The 23,024-nt window shown below is 39.1% G+C and overlaps 1 protein-coding gene and 1 pseudogene across 3 annotated transcripts in view; one reads left to right on the forward strand and one right to left on the reverse strand.

The window, feature by feature from the left end:
• The window catches only part of ENPP3 (ectonucleotide pyrophosphatase/phosphodiesterase 3), a 110,109-nt gene continuing 87,347 nt past the window's right edge, over positions 263-23,024 (forward strand). For 2 of the 3 annotated variants that reach the window (NR_133007.2, NM_005021.5), the window contains exons 1-6: positions 263-423; positions 4,416-4,491; positions 12,988-13,110; positions 15,503-15,628; positions 15,792-15,852; positions 21,284-21,381. Coding sequence is in view for 2 of the 3 variants with exons in the window: in NM_005021.5 (NP_005012.2) it covers positions 346-423; positions 4,416-4,491; positions 12,988-13,110; positions 15,503-15,628; positions 15,792-15,852; positions 21,284-21,381 (562 nt within the window). In the remaining variant the exon portion in view is untranslated. Of the gene's footprint in view, positions 424-4,415; positions 4,492-12,987; positions 13,111-14,098; positions 14,571-15,502; positions 15,629-15,791; positions 15,853-21,283; positions 21,382-23,024 lie in introns of those variants that run through there. The other variant, XM_017010932.2, reaches the window with a different exon arrangement.
• Positions 5,779-5,927, reverse strand: RNU4-18P (RNA, U4 small nuclear 18, pseudogene; annotated as a pseudogene).

Here is a 23,024-nt window from a genome sequence, read left to right on the forward strand (position 1 = left end):
TCGGGGTTATTTTTAAAGAAAACAGAAGATCGGATTGCATTAAAATTTGATGATTGTGTTATTCTTGTTATATATGTCTTGACTAGTATTTAGTAAAAGTTATAAGGAAAAAAGGAGCAGTTGTCTGCAATATACTAGAAATGAACTTTAATCTTTTCACACGATTCTTATTACAACATTTTTTCCTCTCTCCAGATTGCCCAATCACTGAAGAGCTGTGATCTTCCTAAACAGTTAAAAGTCAGGCACAGCTATGTAACTCATACAGTTTCTCTTTGCCAGACTAGACTAAAGAAGGAGCACTAATTTATTCTGATAAAACAGGTCTATGCAGCTACCAGGACAATGGAATCTACGTTGACTTTAGCAACGGAACAACCTGTTAAGAAGAACACTCTTAAGAAATATAAAATAGCTTGCATTGTAAGTACAATTCTTATTTTTAGTCTTTCTAGTTTTGTGACAAATGTTAAAAGTATATGATTTCCCATTTACATTTCTTTGTGTTGCTATTAAAATGTAAACTTTTAAGTAACTGTATTCAGTATTATCCCTTATGAAAACTCTAATGCAAATTAATATCTTAAATCATATTTTACACGTAAGAAATTTGAGTAACAACAAGTTAACATTACGTTAAACTCAAAAGTTGGAATCCATGACAGAACGCTTTGTGGCGCTGATTTTTTGCATGATTATAACTACCTCTCAATCACTTTTTTATTGCATGAGTATTTTAAGACAAGAAAGTGAGAAATTAAAATCATTGTACCCTATTATTTGCTGAACCAACAATTGTATCCTATTTTACTTCACTCCTAGAGATAGTCTCTTTTGCCTATTTTCTCTCTCTTGTCATTTCATGTGGTAAGATCTGCCACCCCCCCTCACCCCCCAAATAAATTTTCCTTGATTTTATTTTCTTTTTTCTTTTTTTTAATTTTAAATTTTTTTCTTTTTCTTTTTACTCCAGAAATACGCTTATCCATTTCCTTGATTTTATTACTCTCTCTTTTCCCTTTGCCATCAAACTTTTGGGGTAAAGAGGGCTCATTTCATTGCTTCAGTTTTCTCAGCCCCCAACCATTCCTTTGTGCTCTGGCTTTGTTTCTACTGTACTGAGTCCCTGACTCAAAAGTCAGTCCTCCTCGTCCTTCATCCACTTGAGTGTTCATAACAACAATAACTTCCTGGTACTTTCTCATTCTGAATTATTCTCTCCCCTTGCTTCTACCATGACATTGACATTTTCATTTTATGACTTTTTTCCTTATCTGCATTCTTAGCCAACAATTTATCTTTATTCTCATGAAAATTACAACACAAGCTTCACTAAACCCTATCTAAGATCTCTTAAGAAATCTCATGTTCTCTAATAGTCTTTTTAATTTTAATTTTATTTTTGAGACAGGGTCTCTCTCCTTTGGGATCTCACCTCACCACAACCTCTGTTTCCCAGGCTCAAGTGATCCTCCTGCCTCAGCCTCCTGAGTAGCTTGGACCACAGGCACATGCCACAAGGCTCAGCTAAGTTTTTGTGAGTTTTTTTCTTTCTTTTCTTTTTTTTGTAGAGACTGGGTTTCACCATGTTGCCCAGGCTGGTCTCAAACTCCTGGATCAAGTGATCTACCTGCCTCGGCCTCCCAAAGTGCTGGGACTACAGGCATGAACCACTGCACCTGGCCTCTAGTGTTTTCCTCAGCCAAGAATTCCAAGTAATCCACCAGCTCTGACTTTTTGCCCAGCCTCTGTCACACAATTTCTTTTTTTTTTTAATTTTATTATTTTGGTAATATGTGTATTTTTAGAGACTGGGTCTCGCTATGTTGCCCAGGCTGGTCTTGAACCCTGGGCTCAAGTGATCCTCTCATTCAGCCTCTTGAGTAGCTGGGGACTATGTGTGTGCCCCAGTGCACTAGCCTGTTTCAAATGCCTGCTTCCTGACTCCTGACTCAGTACCTTACACCAAAACTAATTGCATTATTTTTTCACACCAATCTTGCCGCAGCTTTTCCCTATATCCCATATTTTAAGGTCACCGCTATTCTCTGTCTCTCCAGAATTGTTTCAAGAAGTAAATAAAATAATGTAAAACAATGTGTGTAAGTATTAAGCCTAGTAACAAAGTAAATCCTCAATATATTCCATTTATTCTTTATCCTTCTGAGAATTTCAATTTCAGAGTGCTCTTTATAGCTCTTATGCTAATATATATATATATATATATTTTTTTTTTTTTCTCTCTCTCTTTTTTTTGGAGACATGTTCTCGCTCTGTTGCCCAGGCTGGAAGACAGTGGCATGATCATGGCTTGCTGCAGCAACTCAGGCTCCAACTTTGGCTCAAATGATCTTCCCATCTCAGCCTCCCGAGTAGCTGGGACTTCAAGCATGTTTATTATATTTATCCTAGCTTATCAATTCAGGAAATTATAAAATCTTCCACAGCAAAATTTGTGCATCATTAATTTCCCTTCTTTGTATCTCTCTAGTGGTTTTTGAGTATATATAATGAAGTTCAATATTTTTAAATCATTGTTTCAAAAGTACCCTGATGTCTTCAAACTTTTACTAAAGTTTCACTTAAACATTTTGAAGGTATCTGCTGTGTTTCTAGCACTCTTTGTTTAGCCCAGTTAAAGCCAAATGATGTGCTCTCAGCAGTTTTTGATGTTCAGAGTATTCTCCCCACTTTGTGCACAGTGTAACATAGTTTAAGATACATGTGCACCCCAATATCAAGAAGCTTTTTTGGAATTACATATTTATAGTAAATGATTATAAAGGCTTAAAAATAAACTTCTTAGGCGGGGCACAGTGGCTAGTGCCTATAATCCCAGCACTTTAGGAGGCCGAGATAAGAGGAGCTCTTGAGGCCAGGAGTTCCATACCAGCCTGGTCAACATAGTGAGACCTCCAACTCTAAATAATAATAATAATAATAAATAAATAAGCCTTTTACTCTCAAGGAGCTCACAGAATAATGTAGAAAACAAGCCACAAATATATGGAACAAATACAAAAATTATGAAGAAACAGATTCTAACATTAAATATTGTGAAGTTTTAAAGCATCTTAAGAACAGCTAGATGTTGTTGATTTTTCTAGCAAGTTTGAACAGCAAAAGTACCACAGATAAGGTGTAAACCAAAATATGTTAATTTGTAAGTCTATGATGTGTGAGGTTTACCAGAAGGAGTTCCCCAACGTTGTTTTTCTGCTTTGTAGTCACTCTAGTTTCAGTCGACTGTGTCTTCTAAGCACCATGACAAGGGAGGAACTGCTAATGGTGTTATTTAGTAAATGCTTATGTTCATTTTTTCCTCTCCATCCTCTCCACTGAATGAACATGTACTGAAAGGTCACTGACCCTTGAGCTAACTTTGAGACTTCATATAAGAATTGTTTTCTTAGTATTGTAACATAGCTTCCCAATTGTTGAATTCACTTCCATTGTAAACATTAGATGTGTTAATTTTCCAGTTGACTTTCAGAATGAAAACAATCCTCAAAAAAATAATTTATGTACTTCTTAATTATCTAAGCAAAATCTGATGTTTTTTTCTTTTGTGAAAGTTATTTTTTGTGTCTGAAACTATAACAAAGGTTATTGTAAAATACTTTCCTAAGTAATTTGATTACGTGTCTTTCTGCCATTCTTTATGACAACATACAGTATTCAAGCCCTGTCATCCAGCATGCTTATCTCTGGACTTCATGGAAGAGGAAAGAGGGCAGCTAGAAGAATTCTTTTTAATTATATCATAGTTTAATCTAATCATAGCATAAAGTTCGTTACACCAAAGGGCTTTGTCAGCAGAGCGATAATGAATGACATAAACAATCTTTGGTCAGGCAGTTTCCAAATTATCCTAAGTGGTTTGTATGAGTGGAAGACCAAAACAGATTATTTGCTAGTTAACTATTTGGACAATGTATTTTTACGTATGTTAAATATTATTATCATCCTGTGATAGAGTAGGAAAAAAAGCCCTGCTCCCTTAGAATGAGGCAGTTAAGGATTTAACAGTTCTGCAATTCTTTTCAATAAATGATCACAAATGGGTGCCTGGTTTAAAAAAAATGGCCCAGAAAAATGGTTTTATGGTTTTAATTCTTAACTTTAACTCAATTTGCAGTTAAGTTCATTGCATTTGAATGGTAAATGTGTTTGAATTTGAAGATCTGTAATAAATGGTATCTTTAAATTCTGCCAAAATATTCTTTCTTAATTTCAAGCATTAAATAAAATACTATACCTCCAGTTAGGCCAGATACTAGATCATTGTTGGATCTGGTATCTGGCATAACTAGTACGCTGCAGGTACTTAGAGAGAATACTGAGAAAGGGTGGTTATTTGTATCTTTGTAATTTTTTAAAAAATTATAAAAGTTACTTTTTCCTTTTTGCAATAGGTTCTTCTTGCTTTGCTGGTGATCATGTCACTTGGATTAGGCCTGGGGCTTGGACTCAGGAAACTGGAAAAGCAAGGTATACCCCTCAGCCTTTTCTCAGAACATTCCCTTATTTCTTCTCTCTTCTGGCCTTAATTCATTAAAATGTATCTCCCATCCCAAGCCTCCTCTGTCCTCCATGCAGCATTCTGCTTCTAGACATCTCCCTTTCCCCACTCTACTTATCGGGAGTCCACATCTGAGGTTGGCATTGCTCACTGTACTTTCTGGACTTTACTTTTTCACCCTGCTCATTTGAGACTCATTATCATTCCAGTGTTTTTCTCTTACCTTTCTCCACCCTGGTTTTTTTTTTTTTTTTTTTTTTTTGGCAAGATCTCACTCTGTCTCTCAGGCTGGAGCACAATCTCCACTCACTGCAGTTCCTCCCTGCCCTCAGGTGATCCTCCCATACTTGAGCCTCCCAAGTAGCTGGGACCACAGGTGTGTGCCACCACACCCGGCTAATTTTTGCAGTTTTAGTAGAGATGGGGTTTCACTACATTGCCCAGGCTGGTCTCGAGCTCCCGGGCTCAAGTGATCCACCCACCTCAGCTTCCCAAAGTGCTGGGATTACAGGTGTGAGTTGCCGCGCCTGGCCCTTCTTCATCTTTATAATGGACTTTGGTAAGTGGATCACAGCCTTTTCATTCTGCTCCCACTGTCATTTTCAACATCTGATGACAAAGTATCTAGCCACTTAGTCTTGAAAGTCTTTGTTGCTTCATTCCCATGACCTCCTGCCACCACCCTGTACCTTGACACCACGCTAGAGTTGTTCTACCCCTAAAATCTCCTGGTTCTTGATTGGACAGTGCCAAATTCTTGAAAAGTAGTGCATAATAATATCTTCAAAAATTTTTTTCTTATAAGAAGCAAAGAAAAATAGGAGAAATATGTCCCAAAATATAAAATACCTCACATTCCTTTTGCTATATTTCATTATTATGGAGAGTAAATGCACCACTTACAAATGACAATATAAAAAGAATTACCTATAATCTTTTTACATATTGTTTTGTTACTTTTACTAAGGTGAAGTATGAAGCCAGTTGCTAGATCATTCATGTCCCCCCGCTTTTTGTTGTTTGTTTTTTGAGACAAGGTCTCACTTTGTTGCTCAGGCTGAGTGCAGTGGTGTGATCACAGCTTACCGCAGCCTCGATCTCCTGGGCTCAAGTGATCCTCCCACCTCGGCCCCCCAGGTACCTGGTATACAGGCATGCACTACCACACGTGGTTAATTTTTTAATTTTGTGTAGACATGGGGTCTCACTACGTTGTCCAGGCTGGTCTTGAACTCCTGGATGCAAGTGATACTCCTGCCTTGGCTTCTTTTAAGCATTGGGATTGCTGGTGTGAGACACTGTGCCCAGCACCCTCACCCTATTTTTGCCTTTGTAAAATTTTTATGAGCAATAATCATACCTCAAATAAACCTCATTGGCTACTATACTGCCAATGCACAAAGCTCTGGCCCCATTTTTAAATTTGACTAAAACCTTCTAGTGTGACTCCAGTGGAGTAAGTCTCATTGCTGCAGCATTAGGAAGCCTCAGTAAGGTTAACTGATAATTTTCCAGTCATGTGTCTACTTGAGAAACACTCAGCTTCCCTAGTATGACCTAGGAGCACAGTAGAACTGAAAAGTTGAATAATTGCTGGAAGATTACTATCTTCTCTTGTCACTTGGCTGTTGTGTTTCTGGGCCATAGTGCCAGTCCTTGATCAAAGAAATGTTGACAGGCCATTTCAGTGGTATTGTTTTGATGTTAGTACACACAAATGGGCATCACTTCTTGGCTATTTTACCCCCTAAATCACATAAATTGATTGCAGAAGGCATATCTAATGTCTGAACAAAACCTCCTTTTGTTCCAGCTCTTTCATTCACTTTAGTACACCCATTGGCTGGCTTCCCGGAGTCATTTTTCCTTGTCCTCGTCCTTTCATCTGAGTTGATCAGCCCTATGTGGCAGCATGCTCTTCCCTCTCCCTGGCAGGGCATTGGTAATTAACTCCAGCCCCTTTTTGCCAGCATCCTTAACATAGTCATCCTCTTTATTACTCATTTTTCCACCGCATCTATTCTCCTAAACCCCAACCCTGGGTCATTTTCACCATTTTCCACTCCAGTTAACTCACCTTCCATAGGCAATATGTATTTTTTCTAATGTGAGTTTTAAAATTTGTGCATGTTCTTACAGATTTACCGTCATGACTACACGTATTTTTTGATTGAACATTATGTGCTTGGTATTATTACAATTACTGGAGATGAAGTGGTGAAGACAAGAGACAAAATCCTTCCAGGAGTTTATATTTTAGCATGCAAGACAGACAATAAAAATATAAATAAACAAAATATGTATATAATAAGATAAAGTGCTAAGAAATAAGTAAAGCCCAAAAGAAGGAATCAGGGTCGTCTGTGTGTGTGTGTGTGTGTCTGTGTGTGTGTGTGTGTGTGTGTGTGTGAAATAACTTTTGAGTAATGACTGAAGGAAGTGAGACAGAAACATAGGGATAGGTTGGGGAGGAACATTCCAGGTCAGAAGGACTATCAAGTGCAAAGGCCAAAGGCAGGACCTTGCCTGGCATGTTCCATTTAAGGAATAACAAAGAGGCCATGAACTAGAACTAAAAGGACTAGAGGGAGGTGGTCATAAAATGAGATCTACTAAATAAAGAGGAACCCGATCAAGTAAAGGTTAGTATGTCAAAGCCTGGTCTTCAACTTTCATTCTGAGTGTGACAAGAACTGATTGCAGGATTTGGGCAGAGGAATGATATGCTCTGGTTTGCTTTTTAATAGAATCCCTAGGGCTGCTGTGTTATGAATAGATAGTAGAGTGAGAGCAGAAGTAGAGAGACCAATCAGGAGATTATTCCAATAATCTGGGTAAGCCTTATGTCTTAAACCAGGGCAGTAGCATTGTAGCTGGTAAGAAGTATTTGGATTCTGGATCTATTTTGATGGGGTAGATAGATTTTATTGAAAGACTGGATTTAGAGTAAGAAAGAGGAGTCAAGAATGACCCCAGAATTTTTGTATGAACATCTGGAAACATGAATTTCCATAACTGAGTTGGGGCAGATTGTAGAAGGAGCTGGTTTGGGGAGAAAAATCAGGAGCTCAGTTTTGGACCTGTTAAATTTGCTAGTTCTATTGGATGTCCAAGCGCAGAAGTCAAGAATGTAGTTGAACATATGAGGCTAGCTTTAGAGGTGAAGTCCTGCCTGGTCATGTACTGTGGTGCTTGTCAGCATATGTGGGATTTAAACCATGAGACTGGGGTAGAACAACCTTAAAGAATTGGGGAGGTGAAGGGGAAAAGCAAAGAAAACTAGGAAGGAGTAGCCAGGAATGTGAGAGGAAAGCCAGGTAACTATTGTGTTCTAGAAACCAAGTGCAGAAAGGTTTTATAAGGGGAGAGTGTATGAAAAAACGTAAAGACCATTTATGTAAATGGTTGTGATGTATCTAAATCTACATATTTTTTTTCTAGTTTTTCATTGAGCACTTTTTGAGACCCATCAGAATTGCCATGCATACATCTGTTCTCATGCTTCTACTGTGTGTTACTCTTTGGCATGTACCCAACTTGCCAACCAACCTATGCCCTCTCTTGGTGCTGAGCACCCAAATTGGCTTTAGTTCCTCACAATCACATAAATACTGCAGGTTCCCTTATAAACCTGTGTGATAACTGCTTTGCCATAGATCAAGGAATGAAGTTTCAGGAAGTTAGGGTTTTCATCTTCTTAACTCAGGTATGTAGTCCCAGGTTGCTTTCTAGAATGGCTGCCTCAGCCTACCCTACCTTCCTTCAACTTACCTCTCCACCAGCCATTGCCATTATTCAGCTCTCTAATTTTTGGCAGTGTGCAGTTGGGTATAGAATAAAGTCTTTCATTTTAGTTTCTATTTCTCTGCCCTGTTGCTCTAATCCATGTTGGTTGCTCTCTTGGTCTGGTGGATGGTTGATATTTCCATTAGCCCATCTATTGTGTTAGATCCCATGATTTTAAAATCTCTTTCTTCTTGTTTCATTTTCTCATTTTGTTGAAGAACAACTTGATAGCTTCCTAAAACAGGATGCATGAGAGAGATAACTTGAATCTTTGTCTATGTAAAGACGCATCATTCTAACCTAACACTTGACAGTTTGGCTAGGTGTTGAATTCTAAGATGGAAATACTTTGTTTTTCTAGAAATCTGAAGGTATTACTTTACTGTCTTATAGTATCCAGAGTTGCTTTTAATACATTTGGTATTTTAATAAATTTCTGATTAGTGATCCTTTGTAGGTTGCTCATGATCTCTCTGTGGAGGCTTTCAATATCTCTTAATCCTATTGATCTCTTAGTGTGAGTTTTGCCCTGGGAAACTTGGTGGGCAACTATGGTCTAATAATTTACGCTCTTCAATTCTGGGAAATTTTATAATATGATTTCTTTCATAACATCAACTCCATTTTCTCTTTCACTTTAAGGCCTCACCTCCCTGTTCTAAGATCAGTTAATTAGTAGCCTTAGTTACATCTGCACAGTTCCTTGGTCATGTAAGACAACAGACTTGAAGTCTCAGCAATTAAGACTTGGAATCTTCTTGTGGACCACAATTCTGCTTACCATATCTCTACTGAATTTTTCTTTACTTCCCTCATATTTTTACTTACAAGACCACCCTGAATGTGGGGTCTTTTAAAAAAATTATAGTTCTCTTTCTTATTTTGTTGACGCAGTATCTTCTCTCTTTTCTGAGGCTCTCAATACTCTGTGTGTGTGTGTGTGTGTGTGTGTGTGTGTGTGTTGTTATTTTAACTCTTTTGCTCCCTGCATTATTTCCTTTTCAATCAAGTTTTTCTTTGATGTTGTTTGTTCAGTGTTTGTCTTTCATGTAGGTTGCTATCCTGCTATCCTCAAATGTCTGGGGACCATCTGTTCATTTTCAGAGTAAGGCTTGTTTTTTCTTATCATAGTTACCCTCCTGTATGTCTGTTGTCTCTGTGATGAAAGCCACTCCTTATTCCTCCAGATTATGAGCCTCCTAGTCTGGAGTGGGAGGCAGGGTGAGTAGTGACTGCTCCACATCCAAGCTTTTACCAATTCTCCTATATTTAGCTTTGTGCCTGTTCCCCTCTTCTCTTACCTAATGACACCCTGTTTCTCTTACTTAATGACCTTTTTTCTTACCTAACGACACCCTGGGACCTCCCTTCTAGGGTCCTAGGGGAAAGCTCTTGGCTTTTTTTTTTTTTTTTTTTAACTTTTCCAGGACTCCTTCCTCTTAGGCACCTAGTTGTTGCTTCCTTCATTCTGCTATTTCTGTGTTTCAAAATTCTTTTTCTGCTTCTATCTTCGATTTGATTTAGAGTATTCATATACTTTTATAAACTGTTTTCCTCTTCTTTTTGTGAAATTTTGTGGAATTTGAGGAGATGGAAGAGGTAAATGAGTTTTATCAACCAGCTACTTTTTTTTTTTTTTTTTTTGCCTCTTGAGTAGCTAGGACTAAAGGCACGTGCCACTGCACCCATCTAATTTTTGTATGCTTTGTAGAGACGGGGTTTCGCCATGTTGCCAAGGCTTGTCTCAAACTCCTGAGCTCAGGTGATCTGCCTGCCTCGGCCTCCCAAAGTGCTGGGATTATAGGCATGAGCCACTGCACCAGGCCTCAACCAGCTACTTTTAAAGAGAAAACTGTATTCTATTTTGTAGTTTGCTGTTTTCAAATAATAACGTAAGCATTTCTCAAAATCATTAAAACCATGAACAATAATGTGTTAAAATAACTTCTACTGGCATCCAGAAATGCTTATAATGTTATTTTATGTTGATATAATAATTTAATAAATCCTCCCTTTAATGTACATTAAGACTGTTTCAGTTAAAATATGTTTGTAATTATGTATAACACTATGGAGAATATTTCTCAACATAGATCTTTGTATGTTTCTTTAGTATAAAGTCTGGAAGTGAAATGGCTGAAATCAAAGGATGTAAAGATTTTTTTAATTAATTTAAGATTTTAAACATACAAAAGTAGGAATACTAATTTAATAAATGTCTATGTATTCATCATCCCACTCTATCAATTCATGACCAATACTGTTTTATTTATACCTTTCTCCATAACCTCCTCTACATATTATTTTGAAGCAAATACTTGACATTATTTCATTTCTATAAACATTTCATTGTGTATTTCTAAAAGATAAATTTTTTTAATGTTTCATAATATTGGAGATAAATATTTTAAAGAAAATGTTCTCCACTTTGTAGATAGACTTTTCAAAGTATTATTAGTTTTGCATGGGTAATATAATCTCATTATTTATTTAAAAGGGTTTCTTCCACTGCCGTATAATAGCTATCATGTTTCCCTCCTCAGAAATAGCTAAGATTATCATCACATTATTGTATATTCTTGTAGAAATTTTATAACAGCAACTTTGTATTTGTGTTTTCATGTACTCCTTTTGCCTTTCTGTCTTTCTTTATCTCTTTCCTTAAAATTCACATTTTACAGCTTTTGCTTCATATCGTCAAATAACCTTCCTGAAAGTTGTGAATTTATACTACGAACAACTGTATATCTCATTGATTTGTTAGTAAAAAATGATCATATTTTTCTTATGTTCACTAACTTTTTACAGTGTACTTTGAAAATCATCTGAGTCTTCTGCTTGATGTTTTTTGGGGTCAAACTATAGTAGGATGAATTCAGGAGATCTAATGCTCTGAGAATTATCACTTTTAGTGCCTGTTATGTCAGTCCTCATTGTCCTTAACCTTTCTTGCATATTTTGAAAATGAGTATTCTAAAATACTGTCCTTAACCACTTCACTCCTGAGACATTTCTGTTTTGATAAGCACCTAAAATTTTTTTTGTATATGTTGTGAGGCAAGAATATCAAGAGATTCCTTACCCTATATAGCTGGCCAGTTGTCCCATTACTATGTGTTATTCACTGTTACTTTGCAGTTACCACTTAAAAATTTTTATTATATAAAGTCTCTACAATTATATCTGCATTATTTATCACTTCATCTGCAATTCCCAGCACAGTGCCTGAAACATAATGATGCTAAAATAAATATTCATAGAATAAATAAGTAAATGAATTAATTTAAAACTATGCACTGGTTTTCAAGGGATAGAAACAAGTTGTGCATAGTTGAACTTTCCTAGACACACTATTATAACCTCCTTGCCTTCAAACGACTCCTTCAGGATGCAAAGCAGAAAGCAAGTATCATAGGGAATTATAGATAATTTTCAATGGGAATGCATAGCAAGGAGAAATGATATTTAGCTGGGCACACACTCCTCGCACAATAAGAACTACAGAATTCCCATTGCTTCTTATTCCTAATATGCTGATGACTCCAAGTCAGTATCTTTAGTTTATGTCTCTCTTTCCTGAGCTTCAGACTCAAATATTCAGACCCCCTCCTAAATATGTATTTGCTTAGATATATGGAAAACTGAACTTCCCTTTTTTCAGTGCCTTTGCCTTACATTTTGGAAGTCATCCTTGGCTCATGCCTTTTCTTCACTCTTTATATAAAGCTGAACTGAAACTAATTGCACTTTAATTTCTCTTAGCTCTATTTACATCTTCCTTATGTCTACTGCTACTATCTTCCTTCAGGCCCTTATCATTTTTTTGGGGCGGGTAAAAATTTCTTGCTTAGTTCAGGAGTTTCCATCCCTACCCTACTCACCTATTTTCCAGAGTGACTTTCTAAAACACAGATCTAGTTCATTACTCTCTGCTTACTCTTTAATGGCTTCCTGTTACCAAAGGTTGGGCTTCAAGCTTCTTAGTATGGCATATGCAACTTTCCTCGCTCTAGTCCACCTCTACCTTTGAACTCTACCCCTTAGCCATCATAACCCATCTGCTGTTCTCCAAACATGCCTTCCTTAGCTTCACTGATTTTTAAAACCTTGATCCTTTCCCAAGACTCAATGGTGTCCTTAATCCCCTTGCTAGTTTTTGTCCCACCCCTGTGTGCTCCCATGTACTCCTTGTACATATCAATGTCATTACTATTATTATTATTATTGAGACAGAGTCTTGCTTTGTCACCCAGGCTAGAGTTCAGTGGCACAATCTCAGCTCACTGCAACCTCTGCCTCCTGGGTTCAAGCAATTCTCCTGCCTCAGTCTCCCAAGTAGCTAGGACCATAGGCGTGCACCACCACACCTGGTTAAGTTTTGTATTTTTAGTAGAGATGGGGTTTTGCCATGTTAGCCAGACTGGTCTCAAACTCCTGACCTCAAGTGATTCTTCTGCCTTGGCCTCACAAAGTGTTGTTATTACAGGCATGAGCCATGGCACCTGGCCATATCAGTGTCATTATTTATTACATTGTATTGGCAGATCCTGCAGCACCATAAAAATCATCTAGTTGTCTGTCATAGTCTGTGCTGTGTACTTCCTGTGTGCTTCCACTGCTTAGGTATGAGATATTGAATAGCTCCTAAATGTTCGGGCCCTATTTCCTTTACTTTGTAGGCAGCTGCAGGAAGAAGTGCTTTGATGCATCATTTAGAGGACTGGAGAACTGCCGGTGTGATGTGGCATGTAAAGACCGAGGTGATTGCTGCTGGGATTTTGAAGACACCTGTGTGGAATCAAGTATGAGTTCTGAGAATAAGTTTATTAGCATGTTGCTTGTGTTACTATTAATACATGTCAAATTTTTTTCTTTTCTTTCCTTTTTTTTGAGACAGAGTGTCACTCTGTTGCCTAGGCTGGAGTGCAGTGGCATGATCATGGCCAACTCCAGACTTGATCTCCTGGGTCCAATTGATCTTTCCACCTCAGCCTCCTGAGTAGCTAGGACCACAGGCATGCACCACCACACCTGGCTAATTGTTTTTAATTTTTTTGTAGAGACAGAGTCTCACCATGTTGCCTAGGCTGGTCTTGAACTCCTGGGCTCAAGCAGTTGTCCCACCTTGGCCTCCCAAAGTGCTGGGATTATAGGCATGAACCACTATGCCAGGGCTGTGTCCAAATTTTCACCTACATACCTTGTGTATTAGTTTCCTAAGGCTGCCATGACAAAGTACCACAGACTGGGTGGCTTAGCCAACAGAAGTCTGTTTTCTTACAGTTTTGGAGACTGGAAGTCCAACTTCTAGGTGTTGACAGGGTTGGGTCCTCCTGAAGACTCCAAAAGAGAATCCGCTCCATGCCTCTCTCCTAGCTTCTGGTGGCTGCTGGCAATCTTTGGCCTGTGGCAGCACAGCTCCAGGCTCTGCCTTCATCTTCACATAATCTGTGTCTCTTCACATAGTCTTTCCTCTGTCTGGGTCTATGTTTAAATTTTCCCTTTTAATAAGAACACCAGTCATACAGGATTAAGGTCTACCCTAATGACCTCATTTTACTTGATTATTTACAAGTAATTTTTTTTTTTTGAAACAAAGTCTCACTTTGTTGCCCAGGCCGGATTGCAGTGGCACAATCTTGGCTCACTGCAACCTCCACCTCCTGGGTTCAAGCGATTCTCCTGCCTCAGCCTCCCAAGTAGCTGGGACTACAGGAGTGCACTACCAAGCCTGGCTAATTTTTGTATTTTTGGTAGAGACGGGGTTTCACCATGTTGGCCAGGCTGGTGTTGAACTTCTGGCCTCAAGTGATCCCACTACCTCGGCATCCCAAAGTGCTGGGATTACAGGTGTGGGCCACTCCACCCAGCCTCGGCAAGTAATTTGGAACCATTTCTAAATAAGGTCACATTCACAAGTAATGGGGGTTGGGACTTCAACATATTTTTAGAGGACACAATTCAACCTATAAGACCTATACACAGTCTTATTATCATTTCCTCCTTAACAATGCTAAATACAGAATTCACACTTTATTTAACCGAGGTTGAGGAATAACAGGCTATGGTAAATGAAATGCTGTATCATTACATATGTTTCAATGGAGTTTTACTATGGCTTAAGTTCAACATCTTGTTTGTTTCATTTGCAGTGGTTCTCAAACGTCGAGGTGCAATAAAACTCTCTGGGAAAGCTGGTGATTCTTGATCATTCTGATGCCAGTATTCCACAGGGCACAACTTGAGAAATGCTGTTCTCTAGGTGGAAAAGACAGCTTACAATGTTTAATTCCCTAAATAATCTGGGAAGGTGGTGGTGGGGGGGTGTCCAGTGGTTGGAGGAGAGTGAAGATTAGAATAGTAGAGTTCCTTCCATTATGTTCCCTGAAAAGGGCAAGAGGGAGAGGATAACCCAGTATAGATAGAGATCTGTGTTCCCTTTACTTAATCTCCAAAAATCTTCTGTTTCTATGTAAATGAGAAATGCTGGGGAAGGAAGAAATCTATATGTAACTGAAGTGGACAAAAGTTACCTATTGAGAATGTTTGTCTAAGCACAAGGCTAACATTGATTTTAGTCACTGTTTCCTGGCAGGTGGCAGTGCCAAGCCACCTGCCTCCAGCCTCTTGCTGTTTTTAGCAATGGGATTTATTGAAACTGTTCTCATCCTAAGTCCATAGCCTGGGAGAACCCCTGAGGCATGAGTGGGAGCTGCTCTGTCACTGCTGTCACTTTCCACTGAGAAGTACCTTGATCTGCCTACATTCTCAAAGACATGACTGTGCTCCTGTTACTTCTGTTGTCACCTTTTCTTCCTTGCTGCTTGTCCTTAGACAAGGCTGGGCAAAGCTGCTTTTGGGTGGCAATAATCAGTCAGGGCTAGTGATTCTTCACCTTGGGGAGCTCCTGCTCTTGGGTCGGAATAGGAGCCATGTTCAGATCTTCTCCAAGCTCACAGTGTACCTGCTAAGTAAACCTGGGTTGCGATTTATAAAGCTGCATTTCTCTCTGCCACCTGGCTAGTGAAGAAAAGTGGTGGTTTGCCCCTCATTTGGTATTATGTATTTTCATTTATTAATACAGATAAACCAAGAATTTGATTGTGTTATTATAATATAGGAATAAATAAATGAAATTTGTATATTTTATACTGCAGGCTTAAATGCTCAGAACTGAATTGTATCGTTTTACAGCTCGAATATGGATGTGCAATAAATTTCGTTGTGGAGAGACCAGATTAGAGGCCAGCCTTTGCTCTTGTTCAGATGACTGTTTGCAGAGGAAAGATTGCTGTGCTGACTATAAGAGTGTTTGCCAAGGTGAGCAGGAGGATGTTGACTCATTTGCCCCTGCGAGTTTAGAGGAACTCCATGAGTTTCCTAGAGCCATGCTAGGCTGCAAAAATCAAAACACATCGGAGAATCTTTAGTTACTCTGTCTGTGCTGCAGCAAGTATCAAGATTTTGATCTTATGCTTTTCAGGAGAAACCTCATGGCTGGAAGAAAACTGTGACACAGCCCAGCAGTCTCAGTGCCCAGAAGGGTGAGCATGACTGATACAGGGATTTTTATCCTCCTTTAACAAAGGTGCACATAAGAATGTAGTTAGTTGAGACGCAGAGAGGAATTTCCCCCAATTCATGTACATTTCAAAACAGAATAGTCCACAAAGGATTAGATTTCTTGTGGCTTCCAAGTTCTAATGGACTTTTGTTTGCTTTATTTTTTCACAAAGCCCTTTTATATTAATTTATTATATTCATGTCTTACAACGACGACTTTATTTTGTTTTTGTCTTTGAGACAAGGTCTTGCTCTGTTTTCCAAGCTGGAGCGCGGTGGTGCAATCACAGCTCACTGCAGTCTTGACCTCCCAGACACAGGTGATCCTCCCCATCTCAGCCTCCTGAGTAGCTGGGACTATAGGCACGCCACCATGCTTGGCTAATTTTTTATTTTTCTCTCTTTTTTTTTTTTTTTTGTACAGATGAGGTTTCACTAGGTTGCCCAGGCTGCTCTCAAACTCTTGAGTTCAAGTTATCTACTCGCCTTGGCCTCCCAAAATGCTGGGATTCCAGGCATGAGCCACTCTACCCAGCCACAGTAATGACTTTAACAAATTGATTGGAATATTAAATAGGTAATACTCCAAAGTTCTTATGGTCAGGATTGAAACTTAGCTTGAAATTACTTCTGCCAGAACTCCTTTTCCTTTTTTAAATAACTTAATTCCTGTCTTCTTTTTTTAAATAAAGATAGGGTCTCGCAATGTTGGCTAGGTTGATCTTGATCTCCTGGCCTCAAGCCTCCCTCCTGGGCCTCCCAAAGTGTTGGGATTACAGCTGTGAGCCACCATGTCTGGCCAGAACTCTTTTCTATTAACATCTTGGCACCTCAAATTTCTTCCTTTTGAGAGCAGGGAAAGAGGTTTGTGCAGGCCTTGAAATGAAAGGAGGTCCTTGAAGGGTGAATGAGGAGAGCTTTGTCAGGGGGCATAGGTGATGAACACGTGAGGTGACACTCCTACCCCACCCCTCCCATGCATCTTTTCCACATGTTTATCAGGGCTGCTCCGCTGACTGCCAGGGCCTGGAAATGTGCATCACTTCAAGCCAGCATGGATTCCCCATTTCTCCATCCACCCCTCTGCCCTTCACACTTTTCTGGGCCAAGTAATGGGAGAATGGTGGAAGGGTGGATGAAAAAGAAAGGAATACCTGGCTTTAGGAGGAATTGGTAGAGGCAGTTTTTAAATTTAAGTTTTATTATTATTATTATTATTATTATTATTATTATTATTACGAGATAGGGTCTCACTCTGTCACCAGGCTGGAGTGCAGCAGTGGCACGATCATAGCTCACTGCAGCCTCAAATTCCTGGGCTCAAGCTATCCTCCCATCTCGGCCTCGTAAGTATTTGAGACTACAGGCATGGGCCACCACATGCAGCTAAACATTTTTTTGTATTTTTTTTGTACAGACAGGGGCTCACTATGTTGCCCAGACTGGACTCGAACTCCTGAACTCAACTGATCCTCCTGCCTTGGCTTCCCAAAATGGTGGGATAACAGGCATGAACTACTGTGCTGGCCAGTGGAGGCATTTTTTGTTTCAAGACAAGGTCTCATTCTGTTGCCCAGGTTGGAGTGCAGTGGCGTGATCATGACTCATAGCAGCTGCTACCTCCTAGCCTCAAACAATTCCCTCACCTCAGCCTCTCAAGTAGGTGGGACTATAAGCATGTGCCACCATTCTCAGCTAATTCATTTATTTTTTGTAGAGACAGTGTTTTTCCATGTTGCCCAGGCTGGTCTCGAACTTCTGGGCTCAAGTGATCCTGCCATCTTGGCCTCCCAAAGTGCTGGGATTACAGGCAAGACCTGCTGTGTCTGGCCCAGTGGAGGCATTTTTAAATAGTGTTATTTCATTTTAAAAATGAGTATAAATAATGTGCCTGTTTTTTTCCCATGCTGCTTTGGTTTGTAGCTCAGATTCAGCTGCTCTCTTTGCACCTTGTGGGTGGAAGAGTAAAGGATTAGAATAAAATGAGAGGAGTTTGAGTCCTGATTTTGCCTGTAGGTCTTTTGCGCTAGTCACTTCTCTGAGCTTCCTCTATGAAACTGAAATAATAACAATGCCAGGGTCAGACGATTTCATGTGAGAATTAAATGACCTAAAGCGAGGGAATATGCTTGGTGAGCTATCAAACAGTAGGTTAATTTTAGTTCTAGTGTATGGTACATAGTAGGTACTCAAGAAATCGTTAATATTTTTCTAGTGAAATTTTTCTATAGTCACTTGCTTTATTAGATGAACCTGGTACTTGAATCTATTAAGGTGTGCCCATGGCCTCTTCTCATGGTTCAAATTACACAGTCAATTCATCTCTGAAAAGCATACTAATACCAGCTAACATTCATATAGTTCTTATTATTTACCAATTTGTACTTTACACAATAGTCATCTTACATGTTAGTCCTTATAAAAACCCTTTGGCTCTATTATCTCCATCCTCATTTTACAAAGAATGAAATGGAGGCAAAAGCTGTGAAATCACTTGCCCAGTGCTGCATTCCTAGTGGTTGCTGGAAGCAGGAAGCAAACCCAGGCAGTAAGGACCCAGAGTCTCTGTGGCATAACACTCCCTCAAGTCATAGGCTGAGCCCGTGATGCTGTGCAATTCATCAGAAGAACGGGTAAGGGGCTGAATAAGGGGAAGAATTGTTTGAGGCACCAAGACTCCCTCACCTGTTGATAACCGGGAGGAGAGAGACATTAGGTGAGAAGGAAGGTTTCCAGTAAAGTCTTTGTAAAGAGTCTCAACAAACCTAGATGACTAAGCCCAAATGATTAGTTAGAATGGCCTTCTCCAAACTGGCAAATCACTGTCCACCTGAGGATTTGAGAGCTGGAGCAGCATCCCAGAGAAATTACAGGACTGATTTGTCAATCTTGATGCAAGGCAAGACTAGAAAGGAACCTGGTGAGGAAAGGGGTGGTGGTGGTGGTCAGAAGGACACTGACCATTTCTTACAATCCCCTCATTCTCTTTATTCCATTGAAGTCATTCCTGCCTATACCTTCCATCCCTGCATGGAAAATGGACAATGATGATTCTGCTCACTATGAATAATAAGTGCTGCTAAAAATTTTAGTGGCTGAAGACATTACATAAAATCCTCTTGCCAGACATTTATGCTAGTGTTCTCTTTGCCTGTTTGCCTTACTATTTTGCTAGTGATCATAGTATAGTAAGGAGCTTAGACTCTTAAACCAGACAGATGTGAGCCAATAGCCTAGCTCTGCCCCTACTGGCGGGGGACACCTTGGGTAAACTACCTGATCCTGGTGAAATAATAGATCTGAGATGACAGTTCTTGGCATGTAGTGAGCTCTTACTCAAGCTTCATCACAGGCAGTAAAAATAATATGGATGCAATGTTCAAGTTTTTTAGCAATCGGAGAAATAAAAATGAAAAAAGATACAACTTTTACTCCATGAAATAGTCAATACATCATGATTTGTGTATATAAAGTCCTAGCTACCTGTCTTGTTTATGAAAGTACTGTATAAGTTAATATCTACTGTTGGGAAAGAATTGTGGCAATATTTTGGTCTCCTTTGAAAGTTTGTCGTAGGCCGGGCATGGTGGCTCACGCCTGTAATCCCAGCACTTTGGGAGGCTGAGGCAGGCAGATCACGAAGTCAGGAGATTGAGACCATCCTGGCTAACACGGTGAAACCCCGTCTCTACTAAAAATACAAAAAATTAGCCGGGTGTGGTGGCAGGTGCCTGTAGTCCCAGCTACTCGGGAGGTTGACGCAGGAGAATGGTGTGAACCTGGGAGGCGGAGCTTACAGTGAGCAGAGATCAGGCCACTGCACTCCAGCCTGGGCAACAAAGCAAGACTCCGTCTCAAAAAAAAAAAAAAAAGTTTGTTGTAAGACCAGGAAATGTGATCTTTATGAATTTATCTTTAGGAAATAATTAAGGGTGTTTTAGCTACAAGAATGTTCATGTCAGCAGAATGTAAAATGCACTCTCTAGTTAGCTTGGACAGGCAAGCTGGCCATTAAAAAAGGGGTGCATTGGATGTTTGGATTCCACTCTTGATCCCAGAGACAAGTGACCCTGTCTTTAATCTCTTCCAAGTTATTTTAATGGCATATTTATGAATATAAAGTTTTTAATCAGAGTTATGTTAATGACTTTATGAAAAAAAGAAGTATTTTCTCATGCGAATTGCAGTAGGCCACTTTAATTTCTTCATGAATTTTCTGTACACTGCAGTTCAAACGGTCCCAGTTTTCCATTTTTATTTTTAAATTGAGGTATCCTATAGTTCATACTATAGGATGAACTATGGTATGAAATGGTCCTATCTTAAGTGTATAGTATGATGCAATTTGGAAATTCACTAAGCTATGTAACTTACCAATATAGAATATTTCCACCATCCCAGAAAGATAGCTCATGTCCCTTCCCATTGCTTACTTCCCAAAGACAATCACTGTTCTGATTTCTATCATCATACATTCCTGTTTTAGAATTTTATGTAAATGGAGTTAAACCACAGGCTGTCTTAGGTCGGAAACCTAATAACTTTCCAAATTGGAAAGTACTCAAGTGCCTATGGACAGTAGAATAAGTTCTGGTTTATTCATTCACTGGAATATTAGATAGCTATGGGAATGAATGATCCATAATTACTTGCAACAATATGGAGGAATCTCAAACATAATGTCGAGTAAAAGAATTGAGACTCAACAAAATGCACACTGTATGATTTTATTTGCATATAAATGTAAGTACAAAAATAGACAAAGCTAATCTATGCTGTTGGAAATCAAGATACTGATCATCCTTGGTGGGGTGTGGTTTGGAGAATTTAGTGACCACAGGAAGCACAAGCATCCTGATAATATTCTGTTTCTTCATCTGGGTGATGACTACACAGGGAGTTCAGTTAGTGAAAATTTATCAAACTATGCTTCTGTGAAATGTGTGTGTGTATAACAGAAGTAAAATTTTAGGCCAGGCGTGGTGACTCACACCTGTAATCCCAGCACTTTGGAGGCCAAGGCGGGCGGATCACTTGAGGTCAGGAGTGGGAGACCAGCCTGGCCAACGTGGTAAAACCCTGTCTCTACTAAAATTTATCCGGTTGTGGTGGTGTACGACTGTAATCCCAGCTACTCTGAGGCTGAGGCATGAGAATCACTTGAACCCAGGAGGTGGAGGTGGCAGTGAGCTGAGATTGCTCCACTGCAGTCCAGCTTGGGTGACAGAGTAAAACTGTGTCTCAAAAAAAAAAAAAAAGAAATTAAAAAAATAAAAAATGACAGTGTCTGGCTATGGCCCAAAAGTTACCCAATTATTTTACCTTAAACACAGGTCTAAAAAAGGATTGCAATGCTTTTGAGGTAAATGTAGCTATCCAAAACAATGGACAAATTTTGTTTTCCATTTTCAGGTTTGACCTGCCACCAGTTATCTTGTTTTCTATGGATGGATTTAGAGCTGAATATTTATACACATGGGATACTTTAATGCCAAATATCAATAAACTGAGTAAGTCTTCTGTAACTAGTGGCATGCAAATGATAAAGACACCTAGTTAGTCAATCTCTAGAGGATGCAACTTTCTTTCTGACTTTTAACGCTGGTGGTTTGTCTTAGCCTAGATCCTCTCTGACTTTACCACATGGTTTCTACTTTCATTCGGAAGTATATTTTCACGCTTGCTGGCTTCTCCTACCTTTATTTTGGTGGGATGTTCAGCCTTTTGTTTGTTTATTTTGATTTGCTTTATATTTGAATGTAACTTCTGTCCTATGGAAATCTATTCATGTGTACTGCCTTGAAAGTGATGTTTGTCAGACCCAGGTTCTGGGCCTTAGCAAGGAGAATATAGCGAGAACCGGATCCTGAAGGAGCCTGGTGGGCTTAGACAGATCCAGCACCTCCCACCACTTCAGCCGATATCAAGTCCAGGATCTATTTCCAGTTCTGGAATCAAACTGCCTACAACCTGACTCTACTACTTGCTAGCTGTGAGGTCTCAGACAACTTTCCTTCACCTTTTAGTGACCCAGTCTCTTCATCTGTGAAATGGTGACTTCCCACCTGATAGTATTACTGTGAGAATGTACAGGTAGCATTCAAAAAATAGCTGTTTGATATGTGGCATACAATGGGTGGTTTTAAGTTATTGTTATAATTCTTTTATTATCAACTTTATTATAATGTTGTACTTCTGTGTTAGGACACTTGGCCTTCACACAATTTAATAAAGGTAGTAATAAAGAGAAGTTGAGGCTGGATGTGGTAGCTTATGCCTGTAATCCTAGCACTTTGGGAGGTGGAGGCTAGAGCATCCCTTGAGCTCAGGAGTTTGAGACCAGCCTGGGCAACATAGTGAGACCTCATCTCTATTTAATAATAATTTTTTTTTAAAAGAAGTTGAGTACCCAAGGATACAATGCTAAGAAGTGGCATAGTTAGTTAGAATCAGAGAGCTAACTCCAAGGCGCACACTCTTCACTGCCCTGCAATTCCTCTCTTTCTTCTCCCTCCTCCGAGGCTGTTTTATATCCCTAAAGTTCTCAAATTTTATGTCATTTTTACTGGTTTATTGTTTTTCTTTTTCTTCAAGTTATTAAAAATAGCTATTTGACTCTGGGTAAGTTGACTGACTTTTCTGGGCCTCAGTTTCCTCATTTGTAAAATGAAATGACTAGATCTGATGATTTCTACTGTTAATTCCAGCCCCAAATGCCATGGTTGTAGGAAGATAGATCACTACTTCCTGCAACTCAAGGTGCATTGTTTCTTCAGCTTCTCCCTCATTCCCTGAGGCAGATCTTTAGCAAAGAGACTGTTTTCCAAATCCAGGACCTGTCATTTTTCTGCTGAGTTATTTTGTCCTAGAAAGTTAACTAACACTTCTCAGTTTCTATCTTCTTATCTAAATTTGTCTTGATAAACTGGATATCAAATCTGGTGTCAAAAGGGAATTTGACTAGCCAGGGTGAACTGAACCTTTTCTAAAGTGAAATTCCTCGATTTGCTCATTCCATTGAGAATTAGAAATGACATCAATGAAATATTCAGCCACTAAGAGCTTTCTGCTTTTGATGTTTAAAATATTTTAAAACATTTAAAATATTTTTTAGTCATATAGACAACATCTCAATCCCCAAATGTGTGAAGCT

The sequence above is a fragment of the Homo sapiens genome, chromosome 6 (genome assembly GCF_000001405.40).
Source record: "Homo sapiens chromosome 6, GRCh38.p14 Primary Assembly".
Taxonomy (NCBI): Eukaryota; Metazoa; Chordata; class Mammalia; order Primates; family Hominidae; genus Homo; species Homo sapiens.